The sequence below is a fragment of the Homo sapiens genome, chromosome 13 (genome assembly GCF_000001405.40).
Source record: "Homo sapiens chromosome 13, GRCh38.p14 Primary Assembly".
Lineage (NCBI taxonomy): Eukaryota > Metazoa > Chordata > Mammalia > Primates > Hominidae > Homo > Homo sapiens.
In genome coordinates this window covers 46,254,239-46,277,177 of record NC_000013.11, presented here as the reverse complement: position 1 = coordinate 46,277,177, position 22,939 = coordinate 46,254,239, and the positions used below count along the sequence as shown (strand labels likewise).

At 36.3% G+C, this 22,939-nt stretch overlaps 1 protein-coding gene, 1 long non-coding RNA gene and 1 pseudogene across 23 annotated transcripts in view; 1 reads left to right on the top strand and 2 right to left on the bottom strand.

The window, feature by feature from the left end:
- Positions 1 to 2,477, top strand: part of LOC105370194 (uncharacterized) — a 47,059-nt gene extending 44,582 nt beyond the window's left edge. Inside the window, exon 3 of the long non-coding RNA XR_941946.4 lies at positions 466 to 2,477. This is a non-coding gene — a long non-coding RNA (uncharacterized LOC105370194). The remainder of the gene's footprint in view (positions 1 to 465) is intronic.
- The window catches only part of LRRC63 (leucine rich repeat containing 63), a 65,188-nt gene continuing 42,311 nt past the window's right edge, over positions 63 to 22,939 (bottom strand). For 7 of the 22 annotated variants that reach the window (XR_007063667.1, XR_007063664.1, XR_007063665.1 and 4 more), the window contains 2 exons: positions 22,689 to 22,845; positions 19,769 to 20,042 (listed from right to left, as the gene is read on the bottom strand). Coding sequence is in view for 9 of the 22 variants with exons in the window: in NM_001282460.2 (NP_001269389.1) it covers positions 375 to 588; positions 10,206 to 10,445; positions 15,186 to 15,269 (538 nt within the window). In the remaining 13 variants the exon portion in view is untranslated. Of the gene's footprint in view, positions 589 to 10,205; positions 10,446 to 15,125; positions 15,270 to 19,768; positions 20,515 to 22,688; positions 22,846 to 22,939 lie in introns of those variants that run through there. The other 15 variants (NM_001282460.2, XM_017020422.2, XM_017020431.2 and 12 more) reach the window with 7 other exon arrangements.
- On the bottom strand, positions 6,360 to 7,125 carry ABITRAMP1 (ABITRAM pseudogene 1; annotated as a pseudogene).

Below are 22,939 nucleotides of genomic sequence, written 5' to 3'. Positions count from 1 at the left end.
GACATAACCCATTTTGCAAAGGATTCCAACATTTTTCCTTTTATAGTAAACAGGCTCTGAAAGAAATTTTCTAGAGCTTTATTCAAATCTAAAGGCTTTACTAATCCTCCTTGAGTAATTATTCTGCAACAATTCCCAAACAATCACAAACTTTCATAAGGAGCTAGAATTACAAAGATAATTCGTATGAGAAGACACTTATGTCTTCCAAACAGAACCTCTACTTTCAAAGAGATGAATTACTATATGCAGATATATATGCAGTAAAAGCCAGTAAAGTTTATATATATATATGAATATATATATATAAATATATATATATATAAATATATATATATATATATATATACACACACATACGATAAATCATTGTACTATAATTCTTTTGACAACTCCACATCTAGAGCTATTCTTCTACTAGGACTACCATCTAAAACAAAACTGCTTTCCTTTATTCTTCTATAGCAAGAAGGAGAACAGACATAAAACATAACTGGAAGCTGTGATGCTCCAAAAATATCACAGGATCGGATGACACGAAAACCTTCACCAAACTTGGGACCATGACACCATTCACACCTGGATGTGCTGAAATGGAGGAAACAGCAAGTCAATATTTAATAAATTTTTACTAAAGACTCTGTGCTATGCAAGACTCCAAATAGTATAAAATACTGCCCTTACCTTCATTGAGCTTACCAGCTAGGTGAGTGCTACCCATTAAGTGAAAGACTAAACGCTAAAAAAGCTGAACAATAAAGTAGGTATATGTATAATACAATCCTAGCTTTTTAAAACAGAAAGGTATATATGCATAACAAGAAAAAACTCTAATGATAGATCCCAAATTGAAAATAGTTATTATTCTTGGGAAATGTGATCACAGGGGTTTTATGTTTCTTTATAATGTGTTTCTTTATTTTCTAATTTTTTATAATAAACATGTTATTTTTTATGATACAAAATAAATATATCATTTAAAAAAATAAAGGTACTATCATAACCTAGTATGGAATTAGAGTCCATAATGTATTTTTAAATGGTTAGAAATCAGTTAAAAAATATTAATCCATTAGTACATTAACATTAGTACAGGAATAGACTATTCACAGAAGAAGAAAAAATGAATGTCAAGAGAACACAGGTAAAGCTTTTCAATCTCCCTAGTAATCGGGGAATACAAAACAAAATAGCAAAGAAATACCATTTCACAATCATCAGATTATAAGAATATGTTTAAGTATTTAAACAAACTATAAAACCACTGGAAGAAAACACAGTGGAAATGTTTCAGGACATTGACCTAGGCAAAGATTTTATGGCTAAGACTTGAAAAGCATAAGCAACAAAAATAAAAATAGACAAATGGGACTAATCTCGAATTAAAAACCTACTGCACTGCAGAGGAAAAATCAACAGAATCAACAGCCTACAGAATGGGAGTAAATATTTGCAAAGTATTCATCTGACAAGGCACTAATGAATATATGATGAACTTAATTCAACAGCAAAAAAAAAAAATCTGATTTTAAAATGATCAAAGAATAGATATTCTCAAAACAAGACATATAAATTGGCCAATAAGTATATGAAAAAATGCTCAACATCACTAATATTTAGGGAAATGCAAATCAAAACCATAATAAGATATCTTACTCTAGTGAGAATGGCTATTATAAAAAAGACAAAAAGTAAAAAATGCTGGTAAAGACGCAGAAAAGAAGCAACTCTTACACAGTTTCAGTGGTAAATGTAAATTAGTACAGCCATCAGAATGGAGGATGGCGGTTTCTCAAAAAACTAAAAATAAGGCTATCATACTATCCAGCAATCTCATTACTGGGTATTTATCCAAAGCAAAGGAGATCAGTATATTGAAGGGACAGCTGCACCCCCATATTTATTGCAGCTCTATTCACAATCGCCAAGATATGGAGTTGACCTAAATGTTTATCAACAGATGAATGGATAAAGAAAATATGGTATGTACACACAATGGAATACTATTCAGCTATAAAAGGAATAAAATCTTGTCATTTGTGGCAACAGGGATGATCCTAGAGGACACTATGTTAAGTGAAATAAGTCAGGCACAGAACGGCACTCATGTGGAAACTAAAAACAAATTGAGCTCATGGAAGTAGAGAGTAGAATTGTGGTTATTAGAGGCTGGGAAGGGTAAGAGGAAGAGGAGGATAGGAGAGGTTAAAAATGGAAAAAAAATCACAGGTAGATAGGAGTTTTAGTGTTCTATAGCACTGTAGGTGAATATAGTTAACAATAATTTATTGTGTATTTTCAAAAAGCTAGAAGATTTTAAATGTTCACAACACAAAGAAATGATAAATAAGGTGATGGATATACTAAGCTGATTTTATCATTACATACTATATACATGTATTGAAATATCACCCTGTATGTTACAAATATGTATAATTATGTGCCAACTAAAAATAAAAGAAAAAAATAAAAACAAACAAAAATTTCTATCATTCTTATGCTCAAGGAAGTCAAGGTAAAAATCTGTGGAACATGAGTCTTCTGACCCCATTCTCAATGGAAGTGGATTCTCTGTCTGAGGTGATACAATGTGGGTAGAGAGACAGAGAGAGGCAGACAGCAATGATAAGTTGTACAGGACAGAAAAGACATACATAGCTGCTAATTGACAGGGCAGCCATTGGAGTGACAGCAGTAGCTGAGCTTAGAGTGACTTTAGTGCAAGCCTACAGCTGAGCTGCAATCCAAAGAACTCAGCGAAAGTAGGACAGTACCGAAATTTTCAGTAGCTAGCAATTCAGGATTAAAGCCAAGGGCAGACACTGGAGGATGACAGTGGTTGGGTGACAAATCCCTCCCTCACTGTTCTTATTTTTACTAATGTCACAGTCATCTTTGATGAGATTGAACCCTTTGTCATTTTTCATCCTCCCTCTCTCACTCGGCTCACATACCTAGGTATGTTAATTTTACCTCCATAATTTGTCTTGCATTTCCTGCCTGTTCATACCCATACTTATTACTTTGGATCAATCCCTCCTTACCTGTTATGGACATGAGTGTTTTAACTGACCTCCACCCAGCCTTCCCCTGCACTAGTCTATCTGTGACATACTGCCAGGTCTATTTGTGCTATTTGGACTCAGTGACTCTCAAGGCCTGAAGAAAAAAACTTCCAATGCATTCAGTGATCTCCAATGGACAACTAGCTAACTCCATTTATTTCTTTTTAGCTCACTTCTTGGTACTTTTTTTTTTTTTTTTTTGAGACAGAGTCTTGCTCTGTCACCCAGGCTGGAGTCCACTGGCATGATCTCAGCTCACTGCAACCTCTGCCTCCTGGGTTCAAGTGATTCTCCTGTCTCAGCCTCCCAAGTAGCTAGGATTACAGGCATGTGCCACCACGCCCAGCTAACTTTTGTAATTTTAGTAGAGACTGGGTTTTGCCATGTTGGCCAGGCTGTTCTTGAACTCCTGACCTCAGGTGATCAGCCTCTTCCACCTCCCAAAGTGTTGAGATTACAGGCGTGAGCCACCATGCCCAGCCACCGCTACTCTTTTTTTTTTTTTTTTTTTAAGGCAGATTCTCACTCTGTTGCCCAGGCTGGAGTGCAGTGGCACAATCTTGGCTCACTGCAACCTCAGGCTCCTGGGTTCAAGTGATTCTCCTGCCTCAGCCTCCTGAGTAGCTGGGACTACAGGTGCCCGCCAGCACGCCCCGCTAATTTTTTGTATTTTTAGTAGAGACAGGGTTTCACCACATTAGCCAGGATTGTCTCGATCTCCTGACCTCATGATCTGCCACCTCAGCCTTCCAAAGTGCTGGGATTACAGGAGTGAGCCACCGCGCCCGGTCCACTACCCTTTATGGATGTTTTGTTCTGGCTGAATATTTATTTTTCTCTTTGTACACATCCCTCTTTTCCCATTTTGTTTCCTCTTTCTGGAATGTCCCTTGAACACAAGACATAGTTCCAAATTTTACTGGTCCTTCAAGACCCTTCTCAAATACTATTTCATCCCTGAATCTTTCCCCTATGTCCCCAACTATTTGTTATCAGCTCCTCCTCCAGCTGCTTTTATTTATAATTCACTTGTGTCAGTTTTTATTTACATGAAAATGAGTCCTTGTAAAATTTCCAAACAATAAGGAAATATAGAGAGAAAAACACAGAGATTCCTGCTTATTCCTCTCTTCAATCACTGGAACTCCTCTCCCTAGAATAACTAAAGCTCTTCCCTTGGGTTGTCCCCTCCAGCTCCTAGATAAGTAACTGTTTCTTACAGAAATGGAATCTTTCTCACATGTGTGCACCCTCACTGTGTATGTATGTGTCTGTGGGAACAATTTGCTTTTTTTACTTAATAAAATGTCTTGGACAACTTTCCATGTCAAAACATTTTGTTTTACTTCATTCTTATTAACAGCATCATAATGTTTTATAGTATGAATATGCCATAAGTTATTTTACCACTCTCTGACTGAGGCAGATTTAGGCTGCAGTTATAATCCCTGTATCTAACTTTGTGTTTACATGTAACTATTTCTATAAGACAGATTCCTGAGATTTAAGGTGCTCTTTTAAAGTCTAAGAAACTGTCAAATTGCCTTCCAAGAAGCTTTCACCAATTTATAGTACCAACAATGATACATGATGATAGTCATATTTTTGGGCATCCAAAGCTAGCACAATATCAGTCTTTTAAATTTTGATAAAAATAGGTAAGTTAAAAAAAGATTGTTGCTATTTTACATTGCAGTTTCTTGATTACTAGTGATATTACATTCTTCATGTTTATCACCTATCTGTATATCGTCATTCATGAATTTCATATTCCTATCACTTATCTACTTGTCTATGGTTTATATCTTTTCTTATTGATTTATGGAAGATATACAGTAGTGTCCTCTTATCGAAGGTATTGCTTTCCACAGTTTCAGTTATCAACTGTGGTCCAAAAATAATAAGTGAAAAATCCCGTAAATAAGCAATTTGTAAGTTTTAAACTGCCCACCTGGGACAGGAATTATCTCTTTGTCCAATGTATCCACATTGTAGACGCTACCCATTGTTGCCCTCTGAGTTATCAAATCAACTGTTGTGGTATTGCAGTACTTGTTTAGGTAACCCTTATTTTACTTAATATTGCCCCAAAGTGCAACAGTAGTGATACTGGCATACTGTTATAATTATCTCATTTTATTATTAGTTATTATTATTTTATTAGTTATTAGTTATTGTTAGTTATTATTAGTTATCTCTTACTGTGCCTAATTTATAAACTTTTTTCTGTATAAATGTGTATTTTATTTAAAAACAGGGATATTGAAATGTATTTATGTGTTACAGCCCTTACAGAAAAATGACAAGTTTTATAGTCCTTTTATTTGAAATTCAGTGTTAACTGATCTTAAACTATAAATTCATAGTTGTTGGAGTTTTTTTTTTTTTTTTAGTTTAAATGATGTGAAAGCATTTGCTCCTTTCAAAGGCTTCTACGCCTTTGAATGACATATTCTCAGTAACTTATTTGCTGGTAACTAGAGTATGTGAGACTGAGTGACTACAATATGCATATTTCAGTAATTAGCTTCCCACTGCATTATAATACATTTCCTAGGAAAGCTTTTGTATTTTTCATAGCCTTTTCACATATCCCTCATTTAAGCAGTCACAGTGTTGCAGTTTTACTTTGTTTCAGAGGGGAAGGCCATCTTGTTGGCATAAGGAGGGCAGAAGATACAATCTGCACTCCAGCCTCTTCCCTACAACCTAAAAGGGAGAGGAGTTGAGGCAGATGGGCTGGGACTAGACTTTTTGGTCGTCACATTATAGCAGATTGGGTAAGAAAGGCGGGTTAGGTTTTTTTAAACTTCAAACTAATAGGACAATGAGGCAAAAGCAATAACCATACCATAATGTTCAAACAGAAGTAGGTTAAAATGTAGTACAGTTAGCCCTTGGTTTACATGGGGGATCGGTTCCAGGACCTTCCACATATACCCAAATACACACATAACTCAAGTCCTGCAGTCGGCTCTTTGGAAACTGAGTATATGAAAAGTCAGCCTGCTCTATAAGTGGGTTTTGTGTTTGGTTAATGATATATTTTTGATTCGTTTATGGTACCCTCTAACAGTTTAAACCCATGTTATTCAAGGGTCAAATGTATTTACTTCTGGATTATGGGATAATGCGTAAATTATTTTTACTTAGCTACTTAAAACTTTTCTATACTTTCTAAATTTTCTTTGAAGAGCTTTGTTTGTTTGTTTTTAATCAGAAAAACATTCCTTGCATGCCAGTTGTTAGAGAGATGCAAGAGAACAGGGTAAGTACATGGGCAGGCCAGATCTGGCAGGCTGAAGACAAATGGGAACCAAGGCTCATTATGCAAGCCAGAGAGGGGAAACGAAGGTAAGTGAAGCACCAGGCCTCCTCGGCCTATGGCTGTGAAGTATGCTTCACAGATACTGGTTCTTCTCCTTTCGTGCACTGATGGTTTAGGCCAGGTAACAAGAATCCCACTTTGCTTTTTGCTCCATGTCAGTCCTCATGACGTCACTGTTGTGGCATTAATGCATTTCACCATGACTTCTTCATACCGTTTTTGTGTCAGTAACCCTTCTGTTATGTTTTTACTTTCTTCAAATTTGGGTAACTCAACTGCAATGTAGCCTTCAGTGATGGCTTTTCTTGAAGAATAGATGGCTTATGGAGAATGTTTTTCATTCACTTCCATCGAACATCCTCTAACACAACTAGATACAGTATATTCTTCGCCATCTGAGCAGTAAATCTTACAGAGAGGTGCAAGTTCTGTTAGAAACTGTGCCCCCCACTTAAATTTCCCAGAGACCTTGTTCTGAAGTCTGCTACAGTTGGGACTGATCTGACAGGGAATGCTTTTAATTGTTTTTCCACTCTGAAGAACTGGATGAGATTCTGCCAATGTGATGACACATATTCGGTTAGAGTGCTGTGGTATACAGTGGTCCTTACAAGATCTTCCTTTGACATCTGCTTTGTACCAGCGAGTGAAGTATTGATCCACGAACAAAGGCACCACCGGCTCTGCGGTTTGGCGCTCGGTAGCCATGGTGACCTCAGGCGCCACCACCCCTATAAATTAAACTTTATTATAGATATGCATGTATAGAAAAACACAATGTATATAAGGTTCAGTGCTACCCATGGTTTCGGGCATCCACTGGAGGTCTTGGAATGCATCTCCCAAGGATAAGGGATGACTACTATATATATATATATGTATATAGTGTCTACTATATCTATACAGTAGATATATCTACTACATCTATATAGTAGATATATAGATATATAGTATATATATCTATAGCGACTACTATATATATATAATATATATATATTATTCAACTATTTTAAGCACTGCAATATCTTCTTCCAGTTAATGGCTTGTCTTTTAATTTCATTGATAGTATCTTATATTTATGTAAATATTACACTTTTGTCAAATTTATAAAACTTTGCTTTACTGTTTATATTTTTTGCTTTGCAGTTAAGATATGTCTGCCTACCATGAAGTCATACAGAGAGCCTTCTACACTTCCTTGTAAAAGCTTTAAAGTTTTGCTTTTCATATTTAAATCTTTAATCAAAATGGAAATGATTTTTTTGTGTGTCTGATGGTGACATATATATAGCTGGAATCTGATTTTATTGTTTTTTCCTTGTGGATGACTAAATGTCTCAGCATCATTTATTCCAAAGTCTATTCTTTCACTACTGATCCACAGTGCTATTCTGTCAAAATGTCAAGTTTTCCCACGTGCATGAGAACAAAATAACTGGACTATGTTTTCTCTTCCATTGGTTGATTTGCCTTTCCTTGCACTTAATACCAACCTTTATTACCTTCTCTAACTTTGTATAGTAAGTCTTGATGTCTGGTGGGCAAGGCTTTTATGTTAGGGTTTTTTTTTTTCAGATTTATTTTGACTATTTTGGATCTTCTCCTTTTCCATATACATTTTAGAATCAGCTTATTAAGTTTCTGAGAAAATTCTATTGGCATCTTCACCAGAATCGCATTGAATTTATAGCTCTATTTGGGGATAACGTGTTTTTAGTACTGAGTCTTATTATCCCTAAATATCTATAACTCTTCCATTTATTTCAGCCTTCTTTACTATTCTATAAAGCTTCAGCTTTTTCCATAAATGTTTTGCACATTTTTCACTTAATATATTCCTACATTAGGTTTGTTTCTTCCTATCATAAAAAGTATCTTTTAAAAATTATATTTCTAACTGTTTGATGTCTGGTTTTAGTTATATTTTTTAAACCCCATATCATAGACATTGTTATTTCATAGAGATCATGTTTGTTTACCTACATATTTTCCAACTGCTTTTCTCACCATTCCTTCTTGCCTCTCAGAACTTGCTTCTGGAATCATTTTTCTTTTTTTGATGTACATCCTTTGCAACTTCCTTTGGTGAAAATTTATTGTGAGTAAATTCTGTTTTGGTTTATCTGAAAATACCATGTTTTCTCTTGTTCTTGAAAGCTTTGCTGGGCAAAATAATATTTTTTTTCAGTCACTGGTCCACTGTGGCTGGCAGTTGATTTGTTGTTTTTTGTAAGGGATTTTTTATTCCTGGCTGATTTTAGGTTCTTATCTTTGTCTTTGGGGTTCTTCAGTTTTACCACAAGGTATTTTACTTAGCTTTTATAGAGCTCCCGATGATGTCTGCGAATTCATATCTTTTATTACTTCTAAGAATCTGTAGCCATTATCTCATTGAATAATGACTCCCACCATTCTCTCTGTTCTCACTTTCTGAGTATCCAAGTGTATGTTAAATCATGTCCTTTTTTCTCCAATCTCTTTACCTCCGGTCTACATGTTTACTATAATTTTTTCAGATCTCTCTTCAGGTGTGTATAATCTGCTGTTTAACTCATGCATTGAGTTAATGTTAACTATTATATTTTTAGTTTCTAGAATTTCATTTTACTTAACATTTCTTTCTCATATTTTCCTGGTCACAGTTGCAATACTCATATCCTAGGTCCTTGGAAATTAGTATCTGTTTGATTGTTTTGCTTTTTCCTTGGTGGCTTGTTTCCTCATATATTTGGAAATTTCTTTAAGCTGTGAGCTAATATTCATTTGAATGTAATTTTCTGGAAACTTTACAGTCTAAATCAAGGATGTTTCTCTCAAACACTTTTTTTCTGCTGGGAGAGTTAGTTCGCTGCTCTGGGACCATTTAGCCTCTTTTGGGGTCCACATGCAATTCAGGAATCTCAAGTTCAGCTTCCCAAATACCTTGTGGTGAATCCAAATCTCATGATCCCATATCTGTTTACCACACACTAGTTAGGTTATAATTCTTCAAAAAAATTACTGCCTTTGTGATTTTTCTTGCTTTCTCATGTGCATTCATGAATATTGACATCTTAATACCATAAAATCAAAAACTTCTGGGCCTGGTTCCTTTTTCGTTGGTAGATTTTTAACCACTGTTCAATTTCTCCAATAGTTACTAGGCTGTTTAGGTTTTCTGCCTTTTATTGAGTCAATGTTTCTAATTTATGTATTCCTGGGAAGCCATTTTACTTAGGCACATAGCAAATATTTGTTAAATTAATAACCTAAGCACTGATGGTCAATAATTCAATGAAAATCGTCTTCTACCATCTGAAGAAAGTAAGCGACAAGCCTAAGTGGATTGTAAGGATGTGGCAGTTTAAGTACCCTGGTCTTGAGATTAGGCAATGATTCCAACACTGGTCATTGATACCCTGAGGGAGGTTACTCCATGCATGCCTGCTCCATTCCTGGTCTCCATGACATCACAGTGGAGTGAAACACCTCCTAGAATAGTGTGTCTGGAGCCAAATAATTTTTTTGGAAGAATCCACTTCTGTGAACTTAGACATTTATAGAAAAGATTTATGCAACAGCCATAGAGACAACTCATATTTCACACTGGATTTAAGTAACAACTTGAGAATATCACACAAGGGGGCCGGATTCAGACTACATTATTATACCTGAAGAACTGGATGGAGCGATTTGAAGAATTGTGTGTATGGTTTTGTGTGTGTCATGGAGTATGTGTGCATGTTAGTGACACTGTCATCTAAGCCTGTAATGAAGAACATTTTAATGCTTAAAGGTATATTTTGGTTAAAAGGGCTTCAGCATTTGCTCACCATTTTAGTAACTTCTGAACTTCTACTGGGATCTTATCATAAAATTTATGTAGTTTATTTTGGACAATGAACAAAGAAATAATTTGAGTAAGTTGTTGTGGATTATTCAAATAATTATCTCTCCAAAAACAAGGATGAGTGAAATTATTCTCAAACTGAATTTTTGTCAGGTTAAGCTTCAAAATTCCATGGGGGAAAAAACTCAGTTCATTCCCATCAACAGTCAGTTTTTCAAGTGATCTGTAAATAAAGGAAACCACACTTTAAAAGGTATTATACAATTCATAATATTAAAGTAAAATTCTGCCTCAATTGTTCATGAAAATTGGCATCAAACTAGTACCAATAAAATACAAGTATGAATTTAAGTATTTCTTTAGAATCAAGAGAATTAATTTATAAAGCAATAGAACCAATATAGTATTATGCAAATAAGTGCCTTTGAGTGAATAGCACGGTTTAAGTACATAGTTTGGATTTTTGCAATATGTCATCACTATGGAAAAAGAAATATCCACAAACACAAGATTAATCAATGTCATGTTACATAAAATATGGTATAGTATGATACACAGAATATATTTTCATAGACAAATTAAACATCAACACATATTCAAGCCCAATCAAAATAGTGAAATTTATGCTATCAAAACATATTATGTGCTATTTTGTGCTTTGACTTTTCATTAACTGGGTCCTCTGGGTTTTTTCTGTGTCAATAACTTCTAATAACCCTTATTATTTATTCAAAGAGAACCAACATTACTGATTTTCTTATTTTCACTTGCCTTAATGGTATTTTTGTACAGTCATGTATCTCCTTTCTAATTAGTCCTAGAAGCAGACGGAAAAGAGTCTGTTCATGAGAGACACATAAAAATCAAATCAAAGGCTGGTCCAACTTGTCAAATGTATTAGAGGTGAAAAGGCTGATATATGAACTTTAGGAAACAAACTGCTGAGGGCCTCTGGATTCTCATTTACAGTCTAGTTTCATAACTCATATCTACACAGTGTAACTTATTTATGACTCCTGCTGATAACATTAAAATGTGATCAACAAGGGTATTGAAAACAATGAGGCTAGGAAGATGGCACCTCAGCTCTCTTTATCCCTCAACCAGAGTTTGACTAATTCACCTCTCATGGTCTGAAAAAGGTGAGCAAGACTCCAGTCTCTGCCACAGTCCTGAATGAGAGAGCTGGCATGGTCACCTTTTTCTTCTGCGCAAATCACAAGCCTAGGGGCCGGCAGCAGAGAGCCCTGCTCTGGTCTGAATGTTTCTGTCCCCCCAAAATTCAAATATTGAAATCTTCACCTTAAGTTGATGGTATTTGGAGGTGGGGCCTTTAGGAGGTGACTAGATCAGGGCAGGAGCCCTCATGCGTGAGATTAGTGCCCTTATAAAAGAGACTTGAGAGAGCCCTCACCCCTTCTGTCATGTGAGATTAGAGTGAGAAGATGGCTGTCTATGAGGAAGTGGGCCCTCACCAGACACCACATCTGCTGGGGCCTTGATATTGGACTTCCCAGCCTGTGGGAAATAAATTTCTGTTTTTTATAACTGCCCAGCCTATGGTGTTTTGTTATAGTAGCCCAAGCTGAGAAATACAAATTCTATGTGGACAATCAGAATGAGTGTGGCACACTCTAGGCAAATGCTAGTGAAGGTTCACCATGGCTCACCTGAATAGCCATGGTGAGGCTCTCCCTGCCTGAGTTGGTTTACCTCGGAGGACACACCTGTTTAGCTGCCTCCTTCCCCTCAATGAGTTCTAAGAGAGCTAGGCAGGCTAAACATTTTTTTTTTTTGAGATGGAGTCTCACTCTGTTGCCCAGGCTGGAGTGAAGTGGCCTGATCTCGGCTCACTGCAAGCTCTGCCCCCTGGGTTCAAGTGATTCTCCTGACTCAGTCTCACGAGTAGCTGGGATTACAGGCATCCACCACCACCACGCCTGGCTAATTTTCGTCTTTTTAGTAGAGACGGGGTTTCACCATGTTGGCCAGGCTAGTCTTGAATGCCTGACCTCAGGCAATACACCCTCCTCGGCCTCCCAAAGTGCTAGGATTACAGGTGTGAGCCACTGCACCTGGCTGCTAAGCCATCCTTAAAGCTAGAATAGCTCTGTGTTGAGACTGCCTTGGCAGCTGAGCACCCTGAGGTGCAGAGAAGCTTCCTCCTCATCCACCACTCACTTTCTTAGCATTCTGAGTGGTGTTATGTGACTGCCATTGGACTTGCATGGAAGAAAGAGTGGCCAGAAGAGAAAAACACATAGAACACACAAAGCAAAGGTCCTGGGACAAGCATCTTCTGTGGAGGGATGGATACAAAGTTGGGGAGGGGGGTGGGGAAACAAGATTCAAATACAGCACACACAGACACGCAGAGATGTTCTGGAACCAAAATGCATGATGTGTAAAACTAAAAAGTTAAGTGGATGAATGAAAGAAGAACATGATCTTCATGGGGATCCAAATTAGAGGCAAAGACGAAGTAGAAGAAATAATTCAAAACTAACTAACTAACTAAATAAATAAATAAATAAAAACCATGAGGAAAAATCTAGGTACCATGGAAGACAGATCTAGGAGACCTAACATGTAAACAATAGGCATTTTAGGAAGAAAATACGAAACAGATGGAGAAGGACAGGAACTATTTAAACATATTTTCTGAACTAGAAAAGAGAAGTTTGAGCTGGCTGATTCAAATAATTCACTGAATTCCGGGAAAGACAGCTTAAGAAAAAGACAACTTGTAAGCGTAATCTCATAAAATTCTGAAAGGTCAAAGATTATGGGAGAATCTTAGTCTTTCCAGTCAAGAAGAAAAGTCGCTTAGGAAGAAAAAAGAATCAAACTGGCATCAGGTGCCTCCCCAGCACCCTGGAAACTAGAGGAGGACACAATGATGGAGGCTACTGTGAAACACGCTGAATGAAAGCTTGTCCACTCACTCAGGACATCATTTATTTGTCAGGGTTAAAGATTCAGAGAAAAAATTACCTATGTATTCCATCTGAGGAAAATACTTAAGGAAAAACGCTAAACAGCCAATGAATCAAAAGAGACACGGCCAGGTTCCAGGTGAGAGGAAAGGAGCGAAACAGCTGTAAACAGTGAGTCTTGAAATACATACAGATAAATATAAAAGGAGAATGAACTAAAATGCTTGTAAGATTTAAGTGCTAAATAAACATTCTTTAATAAAAAGAGACATGATGCAAAGGAAAATACTAATGAGAATCTGAAACAAAAGTTTCTAAACTATTTCAGCAAAGCCTAGAGTTGGATAAGGGGAAGATGAGTTTGGAAAGAAAGCATCTTTCCAAAGAAAATAACTGTTCTAAAGGTCTCAACGAACAGTGGAAGGCAGCAGTGGGGAGACAGACCATCATGGTGGGGGAAGTACTTTTTATATTGCCTTTATAAAATATTAAAGAAAATGAGTTTGATTATGAGTTTGGGAAAAGGAAAGATAGCCAAATAGCAGATTAGGGTAGTACAATAGAATGCCAAAATTAATAACATAGAAAAAAAGAGGTGGTAGGATCACTTGAGGCTAGGAGTTTGAGACCAGCTTGGGCAACATAGTGAGACCCCCATCTCTACAAAATATAAAAAAATTAGCGAGGCATGCTGGTGTACACCTATAGTCCCAGCTATTCAGGAGGCTGAGGCAGGAGAATTGTGAGTCCAGGAGTTCAAGGCCGTAGTGAGCTATGATCATACCACTGCACTCCAGCCTGGGCGACAGAGTGAGATCCTGTCTCTAAAAATTAAAAATAAAATAAATTCAAAAATTTAAAAAGAGAACAAACAGCATCCTTAAAAAAATAGGTAGGAAAAGGGGAAAGTAAATAAATAATAAGTACAAAGTAAAATGAAAAGCAAAAATTAAATATGTTGGTCATAATAAATATGAACAGACTGAATTCTCCTACTAAAATATAGAGATTGTCACATAGGAAATTAAATAATTGATCTAAATATTTTAAAAGCAAAGGTAAAATTATCTCATTCTGCTAAATGGAAGATTACGTTCCTAGGAAACAAAATAAAATGTAGTAAAACTAAATCAGAACTAACAGAAGAACTTGGTTACACACATTAGTTTTAAGTTAATGTAAAGAAGTACATAGTTTTTCTCTATTCTGTACTGACAATAATTAGAAACAAGTGGAAATAAGAGAAATATTACATTACATTCATAGTAACAATCACAATCATAAAACACTTAGAAAAGGTTATTAAGAAAAATATGACGTGAGTCATAAATTCCTATGAAGAACATAAAACAAGATCTGAAAAAATGAAAAAAAAGTTTTAGAGTAGAAAAATTGATCAAAAATATAAATTCTCCCAAATTTATGAGTAAACTCTATGCAATTGCAATTAAAATTCTAACTCTGTGATTATGTGTGCTGCTGGATGTGCTAGAAATTATACAAAATGATCTGAAAGATTATGTTCTAAAGAGAATAGTTAAGAGACTATTACTGAAAAATAATCTCCCTACTAGTTATTAAAAATTATTCTGAAGTCACAATCAAAACAGTATAGTACTGACCTAGAAGGACATAGATAAACTTCAGACTTTTATTAATGTTAGAAAGAATTGAAGCTTTGCATTAAAATTATATTTTGTATTATTAGCATTTTGCGTAAATGTATTTCCTCACAAAAAATAAATGAAACATAATAAGAGCCACAGGTACACACACAGACAAATGGACATAAGTAGCTTATCGTTCTGTTAAGTAGTCATCTGCACTTTCTTTAAATAATTTCTGGAAATGTTATGTCTTAAAAATACTGTACACCAATCATTCAAATTACATGTTTGGTAAACTTTGTACTTCACAGATTACATTTTATGGCTATTAAATAAATGAAAGGATTGATTTTCTCTATCACAATCATTATTAAATATATAATTAAGGGGCATATAACTTTCTGTGTACTTCCAAAATACCTGAGTTTCTGAATTTCATTTGGAATAAAAGTAAGTTCATTATAGGAAACATCAAGTTCTTCAAGATAAGACAAGGAAAATAACCTTAAATAGAAAGAGAAAATTAATTGTAGAAATGATTATGTATCACCACTGGGAATAAATAAGTACTTGAGTAAGTAGGCAGGAGTATAGAAACCAGATTTCTAAGATCTTGAAATTTATATGGACTTCTTTTCATTATAGATCGTGTAATTACTATGAAAATTCCTAAGAATTACTCATCTATCCATTAAGACCAGTTTGAGATTTTTGGAGTGGACAAAGCCCTATTTAGAAAAATTTTCATTATCACTAAGATACTTTTTTGTTGTTGTTGTTGCATTAGTTTCCTAACAAATTACCATAATCTGGGTGGCTTAAAGTAACAGAAATGTATTTTCTCACAGTTCAGGGCGCCAGAAGTCGAAATGAAGGTATTAGCAGGGCTGGTTCCCTTCATAGGCTCTGAGGGAGAAACTGTCCCTTGCTTCTCCCCCAGCTTCCAGTGGTTGCCTGCCATCTTTGGCATTCCACGGCTTGTGGAAGCATAACTCCAACCTCTGCCTTTGTCTTCACATGCCTTTCTTATAGGGACAATAGCCATTGAATTTGGGGCTCACCCTTATCCAAGTTAGTATAAGTATGACCTTATATTAACTAACTGCATCTGCAAAGACGCTATCTCCAAATGAGGTCACATTCTGAGGTTCTATAAGGACATGAATTTCCGAGGGATGCTATTCAACCCACTACAATTGCATTAAGACTTTTCTAGTAAAATACCTTTAATCTTTCTTTCCATCAAGACAAGTACTTAAAGGTGAGAACCAAAGAATACAAACACTCTGCAAAAACATAGTTGTGCTGTCAGAAGCCCTGACTCCTAGGGGTTGGATGGAAGTGGGAATTGCTTCTTGAAGACTGGAATTGAAGGGCTCAGTATCATAGTCATCATAATCCCTAGTAAACACCCCCTTCTCTGTATGTGCTGTTCTCAAAGACTTTCTTGTTTTCCATGTAAATAAAAGGTGAGAAGTTATTTGTATGATTTTTAACTAAGGCATCATGAGCAGAATTTTTCGCCAACTTCTTACTGTCTTAACATGGCATATAAAGGTCCTCATGATCTGGTCCCATGCTACTTGTCCAGCTTGCCTCTCACAATCCCCCATATTCCTCTGTGGTCCAGCATTTATTTGCTAAAATTCCCTGAATTAACCAGTTATCACATATCTCTAAATAACACGTAAAATTTCCCCAAGCTTGACTCTGATCATTGTCTTTTCATTTTTTGTCTTGGCTCAGATGTCATCTCTTCCAACAAACTCTTCCCAAATCCTTCAGACTGGGTGAGATGCCTCTTCTGTACTTCTCTGCTTACTCTCTCATAGTACCCATCACATCGTGCAATAAACGTCTGCCTCCTAAAATTATGAGCTTCTAGAGGGCACGGATTCAATTTCATATTTCTATACATCCAGTGCCTTACATGCTGTCTAGTACATCGTAAGTGCTGAGTAAATCATAACTGAATGAAAGGAATGGTGACCCCAGTTAATTTAAAATAATTTGCTCTGAGAAGTTAATGAGACTGACTAGGAAAACAAAGGAAATGCCTATTCAATTCAGTGTTCATCTCTGACTTCTTATCATCTCTGTAAAGAAAATGTTAATACCATTTGCTCTATCTTTCAATTCAATATCATATCATTTTCTTGCCTCAGGCAGTTTCTGGAGTCATTCTATCTTCCCTATTACCTTGGCTCTGGCAACCTAGTTTGGTTCCAGGCTTTCACTATGGATGACATATTCCTGCTGATTGTGAGATGTAACAGGTGTAGGCAGCACTGAGGAAGCTGAATAGGTTCTAGAGTTGAAATTTATGTCATCTATATATGATTTTTACAGAGAAAATCTGTTCAGACAGCCTGTTTGGTCTGATACTCTATGTCCCACCAGTACCAAATCTATCACATTTTTTAGGATATGTAAAACTTTTTACATTTATTTCATTGCTTGATTTATTAGCAAATTATTGGCCAATGAGCTGCCTAAACTAGAGCCCTACTGTTAGCTTGCAAGATTAGACTAGCAATAATAATTTCATGTATTAACAGTGATGACCACCACACTGATATAAATATTTATTAAAAGCCTACTATATGGTAATTTAGAATGATCTTTTAACATACCAGTGTAGGATTGTTTTTTACAGGTTAAAAAAATGGAAGCTATAAGAGGTTAAGCAATGTATCCAATTTGGTATGAAATAAAATGTAGCTATCCCTTTTCATCAGATATGTGGAGGCAAGGTAATTTAATCCCCTTCTTTAATAAATAACAATATGGGAAAATAAATGTGTACAATTTCAGATCTGCTGTTAAGACACGGCTTTCAAATAGGCTGTTCGGTTCTTTTTGTTCCAAATAGTTTCTCTTTCCCGAAGAACCTACCTGCCAATTAAAGTAAATTGAGTCAAACAAGTAAGGCAAAGATTTGACTCCCTCAGTTGAAGTAGCTATTTCCTATGTCATTTTTCTCCTGCTATCCACTGAGAAAAAGATAAAGACTTTTTGTTTTAACCTTTGTGACAGTTGTTTCTGCATAACCTCAGGGCATGAGTCTAAAACATGTCTCTGTCCTTCACCCCACCTCCCTTTTTCTCCCTTTTTTATCTTTTCTACAAAAGCTTTGGGAACAGGAAAAAAAAACATTTGGATTTTTGAAGTGATTTATTATCTTCATTTTATAAGAGAGTTGAAAAGACAAATCAAAGAGCTTTTCATAGTAATAAAGTTCTAAGCATAACATGGGAGTGTTGATCCACTGGCCACTAATAGGAGGCCCCTGTTCTTTCTCCCACAGAAGCTGAGCTTTCCTGCCTCCATGCTGCCTCACACAGTATGCCCTAAGTTGCTCAAAGCAAAACCTTAGGAACGAAAATGTAGGCCTCAGTAAATGTGTGCTTTACTCAAATAGAACTTTTTTCTTTATTAACTTCTAATTTGCCCTATATTGAAACAATCAATTGTTACATAATTTCAAAAATATTGCATATTTTATTTTATTTTAGAAATTTAGGTCAAGGAAAAGAGACTAATCTGTGAAAATAATTGAAAGGATTTTAAAAATAATTTACAAGATTTTTTTTTTTTTTTTTTTTGAGACAGAGTCTTGCTCTGTCACCAGGCTGGAGTGCAGTGGTGTGATCTTGGCTCACTGCAACCTGCAACTCCCCTGGTTCAAGCGATTCTCCTGCCTCAGCCTCCTGAGTAGCTGGGATTACAGGCACACGCCACCATGCCCAGCTAATTTTTGTATTTTTAGTAGAGATGGGGTTTCACCATGTTGGCCAGGATGGTCTCGATCTCCTGACCTCGTGATTCGCCCACCCCGGCCTCCCAAAGTGCTGGGATTACAGGCGTGAGCCACCATGCCCAGCCAATTTACAAGATTTTCTTACCTAATTTTTGTAACATCCTTGAAGACAAGTATAAGTTTTCTAAACTTTCAGATGGAAACTGAAGTTAAGAGTAGGTCAGGGCTGGGTGCGGGGGCTCACGCCTGTAATCCCAGCACTTTGGGAGGCCGAGGTGGGCAGATCACAAGGTCAGGAGTTCAAGACCAGCCTGGCCAATATGGTGAAACCCCGTCTCTACTAAAAATACAAAAAATTAGCCAGGCATGGTGGCGCATGCCTGTAATCCCAGCTACTTGGGAGGCTGAAGCAGGAGAATTGCTCGAACCTAGGAGGCAGAGGTTGTGGTGAGCCAAGATCGTGCCATTGCACTCCAGCCTGGGCAACAAGAACAAGACTCCGTCTCAAAAAAAAAAAAAAAAAAAAAAGAGTAGGTCACTGGCTTGCTAGAGTTTGTAGCATATATGGGACAGAACTTGCCTCTGAAAGTGTCTTGCTTTTTCTACTCTATCACTTTGAGTCTCATGAAACTAGAAAGATCTTGTTAGGAATGGAAAGATAACAGTGAAAGTACTCCATTACACTTTTAGTAAAACTTTGAGAAGGTACCAAAATAATATATCTGGGAAAAAAAATATATGCATATTTTAACATATGGAAACTATAAGAAAAAGACTAATAATGAAAAGAATTAAAAAGACAATCTTTTAAATACAATGCTTAGCCACCAAAATAAACAACCATTTTTCTATGTTAGATAATATCTAGAAAAAATATGTATCTTAATTTAAATCCTAACACTAGGGCTTCAAACAAATTGAGTAACCAATTGTTTTATTTAATAAAATACTGTTAAATTAGACTTGAACTGCTAAATTTACATCACAAACCCCCACTTTGTTCCAGTGTCCCTTTCTCAATAAGGCCTACCTTAGCTATCCCACTTAAAATCACACTCTCACTCCCTTTTACTGTTTGTTCTTTTTCATATCACTTATTACCTTCTCACATACTATATAATTTATTTATTACATATATTGACTGTCTCCTCCTGGGGGAATGTGATCCCACAAGAGTTGAAATCTTTGACTGGTTTTATTTTAGTTTGCTGTTACTGCCATTAACAAATTGCAACACAAACAGTGGCGTACAACAACTCAGATTTATTAATTATAGTTATATAGGTCAGAAGTCTGCAAAGGTCTCACTCTACTAAAATTAAGGCATCAGCAGGACTGCATTGCTATCTGGAGGCTCTAGGGAGAATCTGTTTTCTTACTCATGCAGGCTGTTGGCAGAATTCAGTTCTTTCCGGCTGTAGAACTGAGGCCCTTGTTTTCTTGTTGGCTGTATGCTGAAGGCCATTCCCAGGTTTTCAAGCTGCCTCATTCCTTGACTCATGGCTCCCTTCCTCCATCTTCAAAACCAACAAAAGCAAGTCAAGTCCTCAGGTGGTATCTCTCTGACAAATGCTTCTGCATCCCCCTTCCATTTTTAAGAGCTCATGTGATTTGATTGGGACCACTCAACTAATCCAGAATAATCTCCCTACTTTAAGATCAGCTGATTAGAACCCTTAATTTCATCTCCAAACTTAATTTCCCTTTGCCATGTAATATAACATATTCACATGTTCTGGTAGAATATGAACATCTTTGGGGACCATTATTCGCCCTATCACAGTTCATCCCTAAAGATTCACATCTATCCCACATGCAAAATACATTCACTTATCTCAATTTCCCGAAAGGTTAACCTTTACAGCATCAACTCAAAGTTCAACATCTCATCTAAATCTCAAAAGTCCCATATCTCATCATCTAAATTAGGTATAGGTGAGGCTCCAGATATAACCCATCCAGAAGCACAACTTTTCTCCATTTGTGGATCTATGAAATTAAAGAAACAAGTTATCTGCTCTCAAAATACAATGGTGAGACAGGCATAGGATAAGTTATAGATATTCTGGTTCAAAAGGGAGAAAATGAAAGGTAAACAGGAATTACCAATTCCAAGCAATTTTGAAATAGGACTGAGTAAACTTCATCTGGTTTCAAGGCCTGGGAATAATCAGCAGCAGCTCCCAGCTCTGCCACCTGCTTTCCAGTTTCTGCCCTCCTGGCTTCTGGCTCTGTCTTTTAGAATCACAGCTCCACCTTCGGTGCTCCTGGTTTCATCCTCCCCAGTTCCTGGCACCACCCTCTGAATCACCCTCCCTTTTTCATGAAAGTTGGCACATATATTCAGCTGTTTCCTGCCCATGGAATTTTGGAGATCTGACAGCCTTTTTTCATTTCATACTGTCTTTGTCCTTCTTAATACACTCTGGCAACATTTCTATTAGTATAAAATCTTCAAGAACCTAGTGGGTTTCCCATGTATATCATGGGTATTCATTCCATAAGACAAAAGACTTGTCCACAAATTTCGTTCCTAGTTAATCCCATTTCTATTTTTGACTTTGCTGAAATGGCTGAGGCCATGTGACATGAGGTCATCATTAAAAAGGAATGGAATACTGATATATACAACATGGGTGAATCCCCAAAATGTATGTTGAGTGAAAGATGTCACACTCAAAAAATCATTTGTTGTATCAATCAACTTTTATAATTTTCCAGAACAGGTGAAATAAGTCTATGATGTTAGAAGTCTGGGAATTGACTAGAAATGTACATGGGGACATTTCTAGGGTAAACTTTCTAGGATAATGGGAATACCCCATATCTTGTTTTGGATAGTAGTTATATGGGTGCGTATATTTGTTAAACACTTTAAATCAAATACCTAAGATTTGTGCATTTTATTGTATATAAATTATACCTAAAAATTTTAGAAAGAAGGAAGACTAGGAGGAAAGATGAAAGCATTGAGGTTACTAATAACTATATATATATATATATATATTTGAGGCAGGGTCTTACTCTGTTGCCCAAAGCTCACTGCAGCCTCAACTTCCCAGGCTCAAGTGATCCTCCCACCTTAGCCTCCTATGTAACTGGGACTACAAGTACATACCACTGTGCACAGCTAATTTTTCGTATTTTTTTGTAGAGATGGGGTTTTACCATGTTGCCCAGGCTCTATGTATTTTTTGTTATAGTAAAATATAGATAACATAAAATCTGCCATTTTAGCCATTGTTAAGTGTGCCATTCAGCAGCATTAATTACAATTACAGTATTATGCAACCACCAGCACTATATGTATTTCCAGAACTTTCCCATCATCCCAAACAGAAACTCTATATCCATTGAACAGCTACTCCCAATTCTCCCCTCTCTGCTATACCTGAGCCCCCAGTAACCTATATTCCACTTTCTGTGTCTGTAAATTTGTCTATTCTAGGTACCTTATATAAGCACAATAACACAATGTTTATCCTTCTGTATCTGACTTATTCCACCTAGCATAATGTTTTCAAGGCTCATTGTTGTTGTAGCATATACTAGCATTTCATTCTGTTTTCAAGATGAATAATGTTCTATGTATGTATATATCACATTTTGTTTATTCATTAATTAATCTGTTAATGGACATTTGAGTTACCACCTTTTGATTATTGCGAATAAAAACAATTAGGTTTTCCACTGTTTTGTTGATGGACATTTGAATTGCAGACTTTTTCAGGATATTGCAGATAAAACTGCTATGGACATTCCCAAAGAAGTCTTTTTATGGAGGCTAAAATCTACCTTCTCCATCTTACACATGAATGACTGAGCTACTGAAGATAATCAGCAGAAATGCAGATTCGTGTCACCATGAATCCTTGGTTTCCAGTCTCAGCTAAGCCCACAGCATCATCTCTCAAACATTCACTTTCCTGTGCTCTGTTCTTTTCTGTTCCTCTCAATATCAACACTAAATCATCACAACTTTCTTTAAAACTTCTTTTCAATCATTATTCTTCTTGCTCTCAAAGATTATCTGAAGTTATTTCATAGTAACCTCTCTCAACTGATGCATTATAGGAGCTAAATAAATCTTTGTTGACTAAATGAATTTCCTGTTTTCTTACCCATATAACTATATATTTTACATGTTCATTTTTAGGACCTACCTCCAGTTTTAGGAGATAATGGTTACTCCTCCTGTTCAAGACCAGAATCTCCACCTGAGCTGATGACTTCTTCCCCTCCCATCTCCTGTGAAATTCTGCTTCATCTGTCATCCTTCCACATCTTCAATCTATTCCCTATTGGTTTCTTTCCAACATCCTGTAAATATGCCCGAGTCTTTAAAAAACTAACAATAAAAATGTTTCTAAGATCCCACTTTCTCTATAGCTTTTGTCTAATCACTCTTCTCACA